Source organism: Homo sapiens, chromosome 8 (genome assembly GCF_000001405.40).
Source record: "Homo sapiens chromosome 8, GRCh38.p14 Primary Assembly".
NCBI lineage: Eukaryota > Metazoa > Chordata > Mammalia > Primates > Hominidae > Homo > Homo sapiens.
Window position 1 is genome coordinate 69262295 of NC_000008.11, and position 18647 is coordinate 69280941.

General features: G+C 37.8%; 1 annotated feature.

The window, feature by feature from the left end:
* Positions 17690-18191: an enhancer, noted in NCBI's record as "H3K27ac hESC enhancer chr8:70192219-70192720 (GRCh37/hg19 assembly coordinates)". NCBI's record gives its function as "activates a minimal SCP1, AML or CMV promoter by ChIP-STARR-seq in primed H9 embryonic stem cells {active_cell/tissue: H9 hESC(primed)}" and the evidence as "EXISTENCE:reporter gene assay evidence [ECO:0000049][PMID:30033119]".

Genomic DNA, 18647 nt, shown 5'->3' on the forward strand with positions numbered 1-18647 from the left:
GAATATCTCCTCTGATGGTTGATACTGCAAGGATAGCACAGGAGTCCCCAGTGTTCTCAGAGGGACCATGAGGCCAGCACCATCACAGATGCCAATGGCAGGGGTACAATCTGACCAGCTCTCCCACTAAACAAGAGCTCTCTGCATTTGTGAAGAATGGAGAATTACCCAGAGCCAACTTGTCTTGCTGTTTATTTTCAGAAATACACAGAGTGAAAGGTAAAAAACACACTTTTTTTCTGCTTTTCTTATGTCTTAGTTTACTGACTGATAGGTTGGTTCATTGATGTACTTCTTGCATTGCAATAATTTTAACTCTATGCACTTGTAGGCTTTAGTAAATAATTTCTGAAAAGAAAACAGTTTGGGATTTGCTTAATAACAGCTCAGGAATATGCAGTGTTTCAATCTTGTTCCAAGTGAATACAAGGTAGTTTACCTTTTAAAGAACTATTTTCTTAATGCTTTTAAAGCATACATGCTGGTTGCCCCCAACCTTGAAACTTGTTGCATCTCATTGTCCAGGTGTCCCAGTGTATCTATGCTAACTTCCTAAATAGATTTCAAACTTCTCAAAGACAGTCAGGAATTCTTCAATGTTCATTCTCCTCCCATTTTACAGGGTTGGAGCCACAGCACAGTATTACATATCCCTAAATATTTTCCTCAGATGATTACCACCTGTTAGAATTTCCACTACTACTTATTTATTCATTAAGCCAGTCATTTATGAAATATTTATTAAACACCATGTATGTGTCAGGCACTATGCAAGGTATTGGTGATACTGAGATAAATAAAACATGATTAAGTCTTTGTCTTTGCTTTCATGGTGTTGATTAAGTCTTTGTCTTTGCCTTCATGATGTTTACATATGACTCACTCCTGTTTGGCAGAACCAGAAGACAATAACAAAATACATATTTTCATTCATTCAGCAAACGTGATCTAACACCTACAAAGAGCAGAGTTCAGTGTAAACCCCTCTTACACTTGCCACTCCCCAGTTCCTTCCAATGGTGTTGAACACATATACATCAATGTTCACAGACCTTGCTCCCTCTTCCTGTAGCCAGTCACAGAAAGTCCCAGTACTCCAGGTTTCTATGGAGATTTTTGAATGAGCCCCATTTTCCTCGGCTTAAGATCAGTGTGAAACAATTAAGAACATACTGCTGATAATGTGTAAAACTAGAACGCTGGGTATGGCTGTGAATGCTACCCTCCATCTTGTGAAGCTTTCAAACTACCCAGGCAACAATGAGCCACAGAAAAGCCCACCAAGCCAAGGGCACATCAGCACATGGTCTGGTATCCCTGGCCAGTCTCACCTCTTTATCTGTGATGGTATAGAAAGAACCACAGAGAGATGTTCCACAAGCATCCAGTTATTTTTACGGACCCCAAGGGCTGCGAGGACAATCTTAAAACCACAGTACTAATTCATCAGCTACTGTTTTAGCCAAGTAAAAGCAAGATTTTTGAATGGGTGGATCACTGAACTTTTTTTGCAGTGGATAGTTGACATAGTTGGCCCAAAAGTGTACATACCTCCAAATTTTCTCTTGAACTTAAATTATAAAAAATTTTTACAGAATTTGGAAAGCACATTTTCCTAAACATGTACAATTGAATGTGTCTGGTTAAATAAGAATATTTGGCCCTTTATTTTAAAAAGTACTAAAATATGCAGATACACACACACACATACTCACATGTCTTAAGATTTAGTTGCATGAAAATGTAATAAAGTCCTTAACTAGCTGCTGTTCATCTATGCTTAAAAATATCAAAACATCACAGCTATGCTGACAGTTTTATTCTAAACCTAATTTGTTGCTAATTCACTGAAAATCGTTATCATTTTTACATATGCTTCTGATGTTGTCCCTCAATATCTGTTCTTCATTTTTTTCTGTGGTTGTAATAGTAATAATACAGCTAGCACTAATGTGATACTTACTATATGCGAGGCTCTGTTCTGTGAACAGAGGCAGAATCTTGACATATGAAAAATAGACCAAATCTAAAGTGAATTTTAATCTGTAAAGGTAAGTGTCCATGTTTGAAACTAAAACATGAACTCAGGGTTTTTCAACTTCAGCACCATTGACATTTGGGACCAGATAATTCTTTGTTGTTGGGGCAGTCTAGTGGATTGTAGGATGTTCAGAAGCATCCTTGGCCTCTACCCACTGGATGCCAGTGTCACTCCCTCTGCCATATTAATTTGACAACCAAAAATGTCTTCAGACATTACCAAATGTCCCCGGGGGGGAAGGGGGTACAAAAATGTCTCTGGTTGAAAACTACTACAATAACTACAGAGTAATGAAATATACAAGAGAAGATTTTAGGATTGGAGCTAACAGCAGCAGCCTTGACAACATTATGCAACATCCAAAAAAGGTAGTGTGATCTTAGGCTGTATTAAAAGTACAATGTGTGTTATAATAGGTGAGACTACTGCTCCCTATTGGTGAAATAATGGGCAGGCTATTATGTAAAGTAGTAGATACTACCTTTGAGAGGCTTAATGGTCATTCAATGTGCTTCAGAGAATTATTGAAATGGTAAGGGATCTAAAACCCTCAGGAAGAGAGTTGAAACAAGAAATACTTACAAGACAAGACTAAGAGAAATACGCAAAACCTCTCTGAAGGTAAGAATTGGATTTTTTTTTTCTGCAGCGTCAAGAGGTAGAAAGAAAATCAATGAATGAGAACTTACAGTCAGATATGTTTATAACAGATGTCCAAGGAGAGAATGGGATTCTTCGGAGATGTAGTTCCTCATTACCCAGTTGAAATTATCATACAGCAAGAATCATGAGGAAGGGAAATGATTTTTTTAAGCAGCTGTTCTCTTTTCTATGAATCACGACTAAAAGCCAGGTCCTCTACCCATAGCTATTTCCACTACTACACTAAGAGTGAAAACAATGCCTCTGCTTGTTTGATGCTAACACATCCAGTCATGGATCACAGAACAGATCATTTTGTTAAAAAGCGGACATAACAGCATAAGCAAAAGATGTCAATTTGCTTATTGATGAACATCCTCTGGCAAAAATAATTTAACTATAATCTTCACAGGTGATGGAGGCCCATCAGTGTTTTCAGGGGTATGGCAATTTTCTCCTACAAAAGGAATTTAAAAATGACTTAAGTGCTCAACTACAAGAAATGTATTGATTTCAGCCAACGACTTAATGAATTGTTCCAGGCACTATTTTCAGCACTGAAAGTAGAGTGGTAAGCAGAGCAGGAACAAGACCTAGACTATAAAATCTGAGAGGGAAGGCAAGCATTAAACAAATAATCATACATATATATATATATATCTATATATATATTCATAACTCATGTGAAATGATAAAACAGGACATCTAGAGGAACTGGAAAAGTGTGAATACAAGAACCTAATTCAAATGGGAGGTAATCAGGGAAGACCACTCTGAGAAAGTGAAGCAAACAGACATCAAGAGGCAAAGAGTAAGGGGAGTAACCCCCAAGTAGTGGGAGAGCCCTGTGTTAGGAAGAATGAACACAGAGCTACTCATGTTTTAGGCATGGGATGAGGACTGGTTATTCTACCCTAAGTACAATGGCAAGTCACCAAAGAGTGCATGATCTCACTTATATTTTTAAAATATCAATAGAACTAATTGAATTATTCTGCCTCCATTTATTTGATCGCAGGCATTCATTCATTTACTGGATAAATACGTATCCCGCATCCACTCTGAGAATGCCAGGCTCTGCTCTAGGTGCTAAGGTACAACTGTTAATGAAGCACACAAAACCTCTTGCCCTTCTAGAGTTTACATTCTTGCATAGGAAGCAGAAAATCTAAAAAATAAAATAATTTTAAAATATAGTGTCAAATGAGGAAGAAAAGCAAGTGCTGGTGTCAGACAATAAGGGAAATGAAGGACATGGGGGTTATGAGGTAAGTTGGAATTGCAATTTTTAGTAGGTGAGAGAAGGCCTGAGGAGGGTGACAATATCAGAGGAAAGACCTGAAGGAGAAAGGAGAGAGGCAGGAATGTCTGGGGGAAGAGAGTTTCGGGCAGGGGAAACAGCAAATGCAAAGGAACTTAGGAACAGCAAGGCATAATGTCAACAAGTGGGAGACTACGAGATGAAGTCAGAGATCTGTATTCTTCCCTTTTTAATTATGTATAGGGTAGAATGTCATCAGAAGGTTTTAGCAAGTAAGGGACATGATCTGACTCATATTTTAAAAGAATCGCTCTTTCTGTTATCTGGGGACAAAAGCAGAAGCAGGAAGGCCAAGGAGGAGTCATGTGGAGATGTGAACAACAGTGACCAGAATCAGGCAGCCAGTCTTCAGAGGGAGCCCGGAAACGCAGAATAGCAAGGCCTCCCAGAGACAAAGAAGCCAGAGAAAGCCTGGCCTTGCAGAGACTGGAGCAGGATTCACAGATCCCTGTCCTAATGCTCCACCACTAATAGTTACAACTGCTTAACTGTCCCTCAGTATTGCTGACTTAAATTCCCAGCTAATTACCATTGTCACTGTTGAGTGGTCCTCATCAGGAGTTGCCAGCCTGGATTAGCTGCCCACCTCTGTGCTAATCTCAACTGGAGCCAGCGAGGCAGGGTCAGAATAAGGCCACCCAGGTAGATGAAACAAGCCAACATGTTTCCCAGGCACTTTTGTGTGCTCAGTTACACAGGCAAATGTGTGGCAATTTCTCCCTTTCTCTACAGCAAATATCCCTCATCAACCAAGGCATCTTCTTCATGAGCCTCAAACTACCTGCCTCAACATAGCACTCCAGACCAATACTCAAACTTCAATGTTCAAATCCAGATTCTCATTCAGTGGCTGTGCAACCCAGGGTTCTGCTTTTCTAGCAAGCTGCTAGGTGATTCCAATGCTGCTGGTCCACAGACCACATTTAGAGCATCAAGATTCCAGACAACCATTTCCATTCACGACATTTCAAGTCAAAGTTAGACGCTAAACCTCCCCAATTCTCTTTCCTTTATGATAAGGAACAAAAGTAAATGAGTCATTCAACTTTGTAATCCTAATTCTTATTACGTTTTACACACAGTAGGTTATTAAGAAATGTTTGTTGAATCGGTTAAATGTATTTGTTTCTTGCAGAGTTCTAGCTCCAAGTTTCCCTTTCTTGGTTACTTTCTCTGCCTCCTCCCACCCCACCATGTTGTTTCTAATGACACAGGGAGGGTTTCCCATTTGGAGTAATGATCATTATCATCTACATGAAGTCGGCCCCAATCCACACTGTACATCTAATAGCCCACAGCTTCTGTGCTGACTCCATTGTGAGAGAAGGAAGAGTGGGCTAAATGGTGTAGTTAGTTCCAGGACCATTTCTTCCTAATTGCAAAATTGTCCTCTCAATGAAAGGCTTCAATTCCAATCATGTAACCATAAGCAAGACACTGCCATGGCTCCACATCCATTACTGCGGTTAACTAGATAGTTTGGCTTTCTTTCCAAAAATGTCCCCCTACTTATCCTTTTGCCTCCTGGGACATCTTGTGCTTAAAATAATTTATTGAAGCATGTGAGGCATGTGGCTGAATTGATGGGAAATGAGAGAGCTTTCCCCAGCCTGATCTGTGTCCCTTCTTGCTCTCGGTTCTCCCTTATTTAGCAGTCTTTATGCCGTTTGATTTGTACCAGGCTTCTGGCTATTCCCCTGTTTTTCCATGTGCACTGGCAAATTTTACAGGGTACTAGCTACATAATTGCCCGCTGCTTTTATGAGCTCAGACATAGCATTGTTGGGGCCAGGTGCTTTTCCCAAGTAACTTTTTTTTTTGCTGTGGGTTTCAGATGTGGTTTCAATTTCTTCCCTAAGGCTTCAGAAGCAGGTTTTTCTTCAGTGTCTTTAACTGCCTCATTATTGATCATTTTCTCTGGAATATTTAATATCCTTTTCTAATGTCTATGAGCTTGAAGTATTCTTTCAGGTTTTTTTTTCTTTTTTATATATAAACATCCCTTTGCCTTCAGACAGAATTAAAATTTATAGCGTCTGAAACTCTGCATGTCTTAGAAAAGATGACTATCCACCCCTAGATGCTCTTTCTCTGAATTCCATCTGTAATTTGAGAAGCACATTGAATGAGGATATTGGAACAAACCTAGAAATGTCTTTTTATTGCACCTCAGTGGTTATATTTTTTTATAATTGGTATATATGAGTATAGACCTTCCACATGGACTGTGACTTGAAAAGAGGGAAAGAAGTTTTGCTTTGAATAATTACTTCTTTTGAAGATCAAATATTACAACCCCTTGACCTCTTTCAAGCCAACCATTTAAAAAATCTCCCTTGTTGGACCTTAAAGGACAAGAAAATGCTTCTAGGGATGTCAGAATTAAGAACTATTGATGGGCTAAATATGAAATTGTAGGAACACAGACACACATAGTATTTGCTCAAATATATGTTGACTTGATTTTATAAAAGTAAAACACAAAATGAAGTCAAACATGGTAATACCATAGAAATAAAATTTACTTTATAACTTAATGAGAAGTAGCATATTTAAAACAAAAAAACTTAAGAAATTATAGATTTTCACATCTCACCAAATGGCTATGTTTATAGTGTATATTAGGCTCAAAACCTCGTATTTTAGAATACATATGACATTTCTTTTTTTTCAACCAAATAATTGTCGGTATTTTATTCCTTTAAAGAAAAATATATATTTTATGTGATCACATTAGCCTTTCCTAGGTTTTTGGCTGAGCTTCTCACCACCATTTTCCCTTCCCCAGATTCTTGAAGACATTAAATTCTCCTTGGTAGGATTTTTTTCATAAGTAGCAGCTAAGATCTGATTCTTCACTCTTTATATTAGCATTATCTCCTAAACAAGTTTTTTCTTTGTTTTTCTTTTTCTTCTCTTTATAACTTTTTATTTCAATTGTTTTTGGGGTGCAGTGGTTTTTGGTTACATGGGTAAGTTCTTGAGTAGTGATTTCTGGGATTTTAGTGCACCCGTCACCCAAGCAGTGTACACTGAACCCAACATGTAGTCTTTTATCCCTCACTCTCCTCCCAACCCTCCCCACAGAGTCCCCAAAATCTATTATAGCATTTGTGCCTTTGCATCCTCATAGATTAGCTCCCACTTATAAGCAAGAACATATGATATTTGGTTTTTCATTCCTGAATTACTTTGCTTAGAATAATGGCCTCCAGCTCTATGTTGCTGCAAAAGACATTATGTTTTTTTTTTCCTTTTCATGGCTGAGTAGTATTTCATGGTATGACACTTTTTTACTGGACTCACTTAGTGGAAGTTGAGTATCCCTAATTCTAAAATCCAAAATCTGAAGTGTTCCAAAATCCAAAGCTTTTTGAGCACTGATGTGAAACTCAAAAGAGGTGCTCGCTGGAGCATTTCAGATTTCAGATTTTCGGATTAGGAATGCTGAACCAGTAAGGATAATTCAAATATTCCCAAAACCAAAAAAATCAAAAAGGATGCAAGCATTTCAGATAAGGGATAGTCAACTTGTATTTTCTAATTTATCTAATTCATTTTTTCTCCAAAAAATCCATTATTAAAAGAGGATATGTTTATGCAGAAGATGGAGAGCCTGGAAATGTTTTATGTAAAATTTCATAAAGCTATTTACATAGTTCCACAGGAAAGCCTATTTTAAAGCAATTATATTTGGATCATGAAAAATTTTTATGAATAAAGATCTAGTTTCAAGACAACAAACAAAAGATAGGTAGAAAATAGCAATTCTCTAAATGGGAAATGTTAACAATCAGATCTGAAGACAGATTTGGGAGCTTTCTTATTTATCTTTTTTATAAGTGATTTTTGAAAGGCAAATTTACAGTAAGACCTATAAGATTGGAGAAAACACTAACATCTTCTAGATCAAAGCCATCTTGTTAATTTGCAGGTTCTGACTCATTGGGTCTGGGGTGGGACCCAGGATTCTGCATTTCTAACAAGCTCCTGGGTGATGCAGAGGCTTTATCCCGAGACCACACACTGAGAAGAAAGACACCAAGAGCAATTGTTCTCAACACTGACTGCACATTAGAATCATTTGAGAGACTTATAAAATTCCAGTACCCACATCATACTTCAAAAGAATTAGATCAGAATTTTGAGAGATGGAACACAGGCATAGTTTTTAAATATTCCAAAGTGATCCCAATATAAAATCAAGGCTGAGAATCACAGTTCTAGGTAGTGAAGGAGGAAAAGCACTCAAAATACCTACAAAGAGGTATAAATGACCTAAATAAGTTTCAGAGTGGAAAACTGCAAAGTAATACATTTGGGGAAATATATTCCCAATCACAATTACAAGACAACAAGCTCTAGACAAACAATTTTGACTTGGGAAAGAACATGTACTTCAAAGCAACAATACGCAATATACCATTTAAATATCAAAGATTATCCTATATTTATATAAAGCCATAGTATCAGAGTCTAGAATGTCATATTTACATTTTTGTACAGTTTTGGTAGTTACAAGGCAAACAAGCAAACTTTAGAAAGTGATGAAAAAGATGGCTAAAGGATTAATGAATGAAAAAGTTTTAATGCCAAGGTAAACTGAAAGAAAGTTTTCAAGAGGATGCAACTGACATTTATATTATAATAAGTATAATATGAATTTATTTACCAAATCCTAGACTACTAAAACAATCACTATACCATTTATTTAAAAAAATAGCAAAACAAATACTATGAAGAGAATAAATTCACTATGATACCTATTATCTAACATTTTGTAGATTTTAAAACTAATTTATGTTCCTAGCTAATGTAATAACACAAGAAAAGAAAAGAAAATGATACAGATTGAGAAGAAAAAAATAAAACTTTTTGTTCACAGAGAGCATGATTGTCAGGACATAGAAAGAGGGAGAGATCAATAGGAAACTCACAGAGGATTTGGGGGGCAATGAGAATACTCTGTATGATAATATAATTATGGATACATGTCATTATACATTTGTTCAAACCCAAAGAATGTACAATACCAAGAGTGAACTCTAATGTAAGCTATGGACTTAGAATGATAATGATGTCTCAATGTAGTCTAATCAGTTATAATATATGTACCACTCTTGTGGGGGATGTTGATAGTAGGGGGATTGTACATGTGTTAGGCCAACGGGTATATGGGAAATCTCCATACTCTGCTCAATTATGCTGTGAACCTAAAACTTTTCTGTAAAATAAAGAATATTAGTTTTTTTTAATTTTACGTGATTAGATATAAGAAGATGCAACTCTAAAAAGAGAAGTGCATATTTTCCTTCATTTTCTTCATATCAAATAAGAATTTATTTATAAAGTACTATGTGAAGCTTAAGGTAACTGTTCTCCCTTGGGTTAGGGGTGGGTGAGATGTGTATGGTTTCCCTTTGGGAAGACATTTCAAGATCACTCAGGGAGTAAGTTTCTCCTCAATATATGTCAGCTGTGGAGATTCAGACATTCCACACTTCCCTGGTCCAGCTACGAATCATTGTTTCTGTGAGCCACTATTACTCACTGGAGTATGCCATATCCATCAAGAGGGTTTAGGTGGAAAAAATGGATCATCACTGCCTTAAGGCATTAAAAAAAAAAAAGCCTACTTTGGTACCTATTTTTAAATGATCAGAGAGACATTAGCAAAATGAATTTAAATATTTTATAAGAATAGCAAAGCAATAATAGAATCGCTATGTTCTGAATTTGTATTTCATTTAAAGCTAAAATATATTTTTAAAACTCTTGCCCACCTAAACTATTTTCACAGCACAAAAGGCACAACAAAACTTGTTAACGATTAAGTGAAATGGAAAACTTCACAGAAAAAGACATAGCATAGTGTAGTATTTTTGAAACACACACACAACCATGGATTTGAGAGCTGTTACAGCTTGAATTGTGTCCCCAAAAAGATATGTTAAAGTCTTAACCCCAGTGCCTCAAAATGTGGCCTTATTTGAAAATAGGGTTGTTACAGATGTCATTAGTTAAGATGAGGTCATCCTGGAGTAGGGTGAGCCCTTTGTCCAATATGACTTGTATCCTTATAAGAAGAGAGATAGACACAGAGAAGACAGCTAAGTAATGAGGGAGGCAGTGATGGAGGGGATGCATCTACAGCCAAGAAACATCAAAGATTGCTGGAAAACACCAGAAGCTAGAAGAAACATGGAAGGATTCTCCCCTGCAGGCTTCAGAGGGAGCATGGCCCTGCCAGCACCCTGATTTTGTACTTCTAGCCTCCAGAACTCTGATACGTAAGATTCCATTGTTTTAACCCACCCAGTTTGTGGTAGTTTGTTACAGCAGCTCTAGGAGACTAACACAACCCTATCTATGACCCTTACTAGCTCTGTGATCCTGAGAAGCTCCTTTACCTCTTTATGCCTTAATCTCCTCAAATGTGAAATGGATGATAGTGGTGACACTTAACAGGATTGTGGTAATGATTAAAGGAGTGAATACAGTTGTCTCTTGGTGTCTGTGGGGGATTGGTCCCAGGCCTTACCCTGTATATCAAAATCTGTGGATATTCAAGTCCCTTCTATAAAAAGGTGTAGTATTTGCATGTAACCTACACATATGCTTCTGTATACTTTAAATCATCTCTACATTACTTGTAATGCCTAAGACAATATAAATGCTATGTAAATAGTTGTTATACTGTGTTTTTATTTTTATTTTTATTGTTATATTATTACTATTTTTCCTGAATATTTTTTCAGTTGGAATTGGTTGAATCAGCAGATGGAGAACCCACAGATATGGAGGGCCACCTATATATGTAAAGTGTGTTAGGTGCCTAGTAAAGATTAGATAAATGTTTATTATGCTTATTATAAATATGTAAAGGATTTACCATAGTACTTGATCCATAGATGGCATTCACTGAACAGTTGTTTTCTTTCTATGGTTGTAAATTACTAATCATTATTAACTTTAAGATATAGAAGCCCTTATAAAATAATAGCCAGTTCTTGACTAACTCAGATTAGTCCATCTTTGGAGGTACAATTTTTTGTCAATTTTGAATCCTGAACTTACCTATGAAAAATGGCTCCAAGCCCACATCTTACTACTCAAGACTTCAGTGTGGGCACATAGAAGATAAACTTACATGGCTATTAAACAAAGAAAGCATTAATTTCCTAGATTACTTTTCATTCCTACCCCTCCAAATCATAATCATTTCACAATTTAAATCCTCAGAAACCTGGGAATTTGTGTTTTGAATTTTTGAGTTCTTAATCCTTTGATGCAGACATTTGGAAGATATTAGAATTCCTAATCTTTATGAATGTTGACCTGCTTTAAACCACACATTAATATTTATTAAGAGCTATATGATCTTTTTAAAAAGTGAAGTGCCTTTCAATAAATGTTTGAAACTAATTTTATGTCACACATAATATCAGCTACTTTTACATTAGCTTTACTTATGGGCACCTACTGTTTCTTTCCCTAAAATTCATTCAACATATATTCACTCAGAAAATATCTATTGAATTATTTTTGTAGAGATAACTGTAAGAGAAAGAGAAAATAGAGAAATGTAAGAAACGTAATAATACGAAAAAGAACATGATAGGAGAAAAATATATGAGACATCAATTCCTCTTGGGTCATCAATAACATCTTTGTTGGGAATATAGCATTTGATCAAACTCTTGGAGGAAACAGATTTTAAAAACCCAAATTTTTCTTTTAACTTTTATGTTCTCATAAAAATTTCATTGGCTTGCAGAAACTATAATAAAAAACTAAAACATTAATAATCCAAAGGGGGTAAAAATGTATCCATGATAAATCTCAAACATTTGTCAGAATCCTATTGAAATTTTTTGACTTTAGAGTCGCAGTGCAAAATCTGTTTTAAACTCTTAAAAGATTGAAGTTCCTGAGAGTGAAAAATGGTGGAGGAGGGGGAAAGGAGAGGGATCCATGTCTGCAGGTGCCTGTGAAACTGAGGTGGCCACGAAGAGTCTTCTGACATCTTTTCACGTATCACCTGAAAAAATTATGAGACCCAAAAAAGTGGAGAAGCTTATGATTACTTTAATTCTATGTTTAAAGACTTAATGCAGAAGACACCATTTTAATACACTCTTCCTTTTGGAGTTTGGCAAAACAACCCATAAGAGAGATATTGGATTTGTTTTCTTTGGCAGAGAGGAGCAGTCTGGACTTCTTTCATCTGAAACTCTTTACCATCTTTGGAGAGAGAGCCGCTGAGATAATGGCCAATTTGTGCATTCTCCAAGGGACCCAAAAGGAAGCTGGAAGCATCTCTGAAAATATTGACATTCAACAGGAAGTTCCAAGAGTCATTACAAAAAAGAGAGAAAGGAAAAAACATATATATTTATATTATATATTATTATATATATTCTGATGTATTGTTTATTGATTTTTAAAAGCCATTAGATTGCAACGTTATTCATCTAAAAATGTCTGAAGTGTCATGGGGCCACAGAGAGCCAATATCAATTAGTTGCTTAAGTTATGAATTCACAGCTAACCACAACACCCGCTTAAGGAAAGCAGACAGTGCTTTTACAGTGCCTAAATATTACACAGGCAAATTGAATAATGAATTAAGACAATCGTACAGAAAAACAAAAACCTAGCTAAAGAGTTTTGTAATCTGAAAATCCCATTTTCTCTACCTAGATTTATCGAGATACATTGCTTGTTTTGATTTGATTTTTTTTTTTTTTTTTTTTTTTTTTTGAGACGGAGTCTGGGTCTGTCGCCCAGGCTGGAGTGCAGTGGCACGATCTCGGCTACACTGCAAGCTCCGCCTCCTGGGTTCACGCCATTCTCCTGCCTCAGCCTCCTGAGTAGCTGGGACTGCAGGCGCCCGCCACCAAGCCCAGCTAATTTTTTTTTTTGTATTTTCAGTAGGACGGGGTTTCACTGTGTTAGCAGGATGGTCTTGATCTCCTGGCCTCGTGATCCAACCGCCTCGGCCTCCCAAAGTGCTGGGATTACAGGCATGAGCCACCGCACCTGGCTCTTGATTGAATTTTAATTGCATTTTAAATTAGAGTCAGATAGAATATCTTACAGAAACCAGGTACTAGGTGGGCATTTCAGGGGGCTTCTTCGCCAAGTGCTAGAAGCCATATGGCCTGGAGATGAGAACATAAGAATGCAGGCTGTGGTATCAAAGCTAGGCTCTGCTGTTTCCCAACCAGGTGAGCCTGGTTCATTTACTTGACCTCTCTGAACCTCAGTTTTCATGTCTGTAAAATAGAGTAAACAACTAACTCTTAGAGTCCTGCTGAGGGGTAAAACACGTACCACAATATTTAATAAATGAGAGCCATTATTATCACTGCATGCTCAAGTAATTTCTTCAACTTCTTGATTTAAGCACTGCTCACTTCAAGTTGAAATTGATTTTTTTTTTTTTTAACTGACTTAAATACGAAACAAAAGAACATATTTCAGCAACTTTTCTAACAACCACCTAAAAACCTTGGAAAGGCCTCTCAATTTTAGGCTTGAGAACTGGCATGAAGAAAGACATTTTTTAAAATAATAGATATTACATGAAAAGCTATCCCCTTGCTGCAGTCTCGCAGGCTTTTGCAGACACTAATGATCCTGGGAACAAACACAAGCTAGCACCTGGACTTTTTGCATTTGGATCCAGGCACCCCCCCGCCTCCCATCACTAGACATCACAAAGCCTGGGAAGACATGTGTAAGGTGTGCCTCTTGGACACAGTATTTCCTTTGGGTGGGACATTAAACATTGGACTTTAGTACTGTATTCATTGGAGACATTGGAATGCTTTCACGGGTGAAGATTTTAAGTAAACTTCTATACAGATTTTTAATGAGAAAGCTAGGCATATCTCTTTTTGCACCGGTTTGAATAAAATCTCCCGAAAAAGAGAAAGACTGGTTACTACTGTAGGATGACTATGGTTAACAATTATATATGATGTAGTTTCAAATAGCTAGAAGGAGAATATTGGATTATCCAACACAAAGAAATGATAAATGTTTTAGATGATGGATATACCAATTACCTTGATGCAATCACTATACATTATACATATGTAAACATCACCATATACCCATGAATATGATCAATTATTATTTGTCAGTCTAAAAACGTAACATTTTTTTAAAAGAGTAGGATAATATTTGTTGTCCCTTCCAAACATATTATCTCATAAATGTTATTTTGTGATATGTTGCTTGGGTGTATTGTGTTGCCTTAGCCCCCTTCCAAATGTCCTCTTCCTGGATATTCACTGTGGATGGCTAAGTGTGCCTGACCATCCACCCCTCTATGGTGCCTCTTGGCATAAAATAATGGTGGGGAAAAAAAACCCAGCAGAGTAAACTAGAATAATGCCACAAACTTCAGAGACCATTGTAAATATTGACTTACGTTGTGCTCACACCAGTCTTGCAGTAAGTGTCAGTTGTCTTTAAGATTGCATGTAATCAACACATTGTGATGGGTTTTATGGTTATAATTATAAGCAGAAAACTAACCTGCAGACCCAGCTTATCCACTGAAAGAACAGTGAACCAAGCCTACATCCACAAGACTAGAACATACTTTTAAGTGTAATTAGCACAGTGCTTGGCTTTAATGGTGCAATTCTTCATGACTGTGATGAATCTAGGAGAAATGTGAAAAAATGACAGCCCTAGCTTACCCAACTCTATAAAAGTCAGACCAAATTACTCAGAGTATTTATATGGCAATGGAAAAATATTTTTAAAGCAGAAAAATTTCTGATCACCATGGATTCTGATCTACATAATCAGACAGCTCTATGTTTGGTCAAGAATAGCACAATTTTCCATTCCACTTTGAAAAATAGAAATTTTTGCTCAACATTTATCAAAAGTCTGCTTTGATCATTTTTTCTATTCTTACCTTAAAAATGTCTCAGTAAATGAAACAAATGAAAAGCAAAATTAGTGATTCCACTGGCTTTTTTCCCAGACTAAGTACACACAGCAAAATGAGATTTTTATATTTCTAAACATCTGCATTTCATTCACATCTTCTCCTAAGTAGAGAATTAGAGACAGAATGAAGGACCAGTTCTTCATCTACAGAACAAGGGTGCCCGGGATTGAATAGGCCAAATATCTTAGGAAGTCCATCCACTGAGAGAAAAACCCTAAACCACACCTCACAGTTGTGAATATTCTTATATGTTTCCTCCTACCCAGCAGATTGTCCTGGGTGACTGCTTACATTCTTTAGATTTGGTAATAAACAGTTGCCATTTTGACCATTTCCTTTTGTAGACTCACAAACTGCAGAATAACTAAATAACTCCTTTCCTTTGATGGCCTTGCCCAAGGGCTGTTTTAGCACCTCATAAATCCTGTAATTGTATGGGATCATTTGGCAGTGTGTGGATTTTTCTGTTAAATCACAGTAAGAAGAAGATCAGGAGGAAACCTGAAAAATAAAGCATTATAGTGGCATTAGAAGATTTATAGTGAGAGTGAATAGCACTGGCAAAACCCCAGCCAGGCCTTTGTTACTGGTAAGAAGACATGGCTAAGCATTAAATATCTCTTGTATTAGCTGAGGGTAGAACTTAGAGTTAGATCCAGTTCTTTTTTTCTCCTATGCATTTCTGGTGTCAGTGAGAATAGAGTAGAATTTTAAAGTAGGCACAACTGTCAAGGAGATTGATTGAGGCAGTGTTTATGCCCATTTGTATAGATGTCCTGTAAATGGACTTATTACATGGTCCTTGGAAAAAAATAGGCATAAGAAACAGAGAACACTTAACCTATTGTACATGTGTTGTTTTTGTTTTGTGTATGTGTATGCTTTCCTCAGAGGGTCTCTGTCAAATAAGCGTGCCTAAAAGCATTGCAGGATTTTGCAGCTTTTATAAACTGCATTTTCATGTCTCAAGAAGCAGATAGTATGAAGTTGGGAAGGTTGGGGTTTGCCAGACCATGCCATGTCGGCTGTTGGAGAGAGGCCAGCAGTGGATTGGAAATCCAAATTGTACCCCGTTTAATAAAATCTGTGCTATTCCTTGGATAAGAAATGTTAGCTGCCGTTTATAAAATGCTTCGAGAACAGAGAAGTATAAAAACATACAAAGCATTTCCCCTAATGGTATTAAATTTAAATGTTTTCTAGCAAGTTGAAACCAGTATAAAGCTTCAGTAATTAACAGATTAAGATCTATCGACAGACTCTTCACATCAGAAATTAAAAGGAAAATTACAGGTCTCTTAAGAAGTTAAGGCTTCTCATAAAGCAATGGCAAGGAATAACTGCACACCTTAACGGAAATTTTTTTTGGCAAAATAAGCAGCACTAAATTATATGGAATGCGTAATTCTTTTGAACTCTCTGAGACTGCGAATCCTATAAAATAGAAGTTTCAGGCTTTTTTAAGTGATTGTTAATATCAAAAGAAATGTATTGGAAATAACTAATAATAAATTTTGACTGTGTTGAAACTTATCTAAGCCTTGTTCAAGGGTGCCATCTCGCCTCTATACTCTCTCTCCAGGTGATCGCAAACACTCCCAGGCCTTCTAATATCATATATGTCAAACCCAGTGAATCCCAAATTCAATATCCCACCTCTGGTATCTTACTTGAGCTCAAAACCGTTGTGCTCAGTTACCAGGCTTACAACTCTAATTTCTAATTTATCACCTATCTCAAAGTTGACTTGTCCAAAACAGAACTTTTGATTATCAATTTCACCCCACACGTGTTTACATGCACACACACACACACCCACACAAACACACAAAATAAAAACAAAGCTGCTTGTCCTTTCCCATCCCATTAAATAGTATCACCTTTCTCCCAGTTGCCCAGGCCAAAACCTAGGAATTTCCCATAATTATTCTCTTTCTCTCACCTCCCATAGGTAATCCTTCAACAAGATCTGTTGGCTCTACCTTTAGAGTACATACCACATACTTCCACTTCTCTTCCTTTCCACTGCTGCTACACTATTCTAAAGCACCATTAATTCTCTTTGGCTCCTTAGAGGGTCTATTGCTTCTATTCTTGTACTCAGTCCAAGGAAAAGGACATAGACAGAATTCCACAAATTATAAGGAGGCAATTGAAGGTGCTTGAACAGGGATATAGAAATTAAGCAGTCAGCAAAGTGAATTAGCGCAATGAGAGGATCAAACTATGATAAAGGACAACTGAAAAAGTTCAAGGAGAAGATGGCCAATTGGTAATGTGATAATTGTTAAGAAGCACTTAAATTTCACCAAAAGAAAAGTCAACCAAACTAAGAATTACAGTCATTAAGACACCCCCCCAACTCTAATCTAAACTATCATACAGCTATTGACTAGTTAGTGAAAATGATCAATTAGTAGACATTACAAACCCCATGTGAGCACTGTATCAAAGGAACTGACATCTATGCATCTATTGGTTTAGTCCATTAAATTATCAATCAACAAACACTTGTTGAGAAGTATTCCACCCAGGTACCATGGTCTACCCTAGTAGTACTGAGATTAAATTGGTAAAGAACCCTCTAGGAGCTCACAACCTAGAGAAAGGAATGCAAGTAGAGGGGGTGGCTGGCAAGATGGCCAAATAGGAACAGCTCTGGTCTGCAGCTCCCAGCAAGATCAACACAGAAGGCAGGTGATTTCTGCATTTCCAACTGAGGTACTCAGCTCATCTCATCGGGATTGGTTAGACAGTGGATGCAGCCCACCGAGGATGAGCAGAAGCAGGGTGGGGCATTGCCTCACCCAGGAAGTGCAAGGAGTTGGGAAACTCCCTCCCCTAGCCAAGGGAAGCCATGAGGGACTGTGCGGTGAGGAATGGTGCATTCCAGCCCAGATACTACGCTTTTCCCATGGTCTTTGCAACCTACACACCAGGAGATTCCCTCGAGTGCCTACACTACCAGGGCCCTGGGTTTCAGGTAGAAAATGGGGCAGCCATTTGGGTAGACACTGAGCTAGCTGCAGGAGTTTTTTCATACCCTAGTGGTGCCTGGAACAGCAGCGAGACAGAACCATTCACTCCCCTGGAAAGGAGGCTGAAGCCAGTGAGTCAAATGGTCTAGCTCAGTGGATCCCATTTCCACGGAGCCCAGCAAGCTAAAATCCACTGGCTTGAAATTCTCACTGCCAGCACAGCAGTCTGAAGTTGACCTGGGACACTTAAGCTTGGTGGGGTGAGGGTCCACCATTACTGAGGTTTGAGTAAGTGGTTTTCCCACACAGTGTAAACAAAGCCATCGAGACGTTCAAACTGGGTAGAGCCCACTGCAGCTCGGTAAAGCCACTGTAGGCAGACTGCCTATCTAGATTCCTCCTCTCTGAGCAGGGCATCTCTGAAAGAAAGGCAGCGGCCCCAGTCAGGGGCTTATAGATAAAACTCCCTTCTTGCTGGGACAGAGCACAAGGGGCAAGGGGCAGCTGTGGGTGCAGCTTCAGCAGACTTAAACATTCCTGCCTGCCAAAACTGAAGAAAGCAGCGGATCTCCCAGCACAGCACTCCAGTTCTGCTAAGGGATAGACTGCCTCCTCAAGTGGGTCCCTGACCCCCATGCCTCCTAACCGGCAGACACATTCCAGCAGGGGTTGACAGACACCTCATACAGG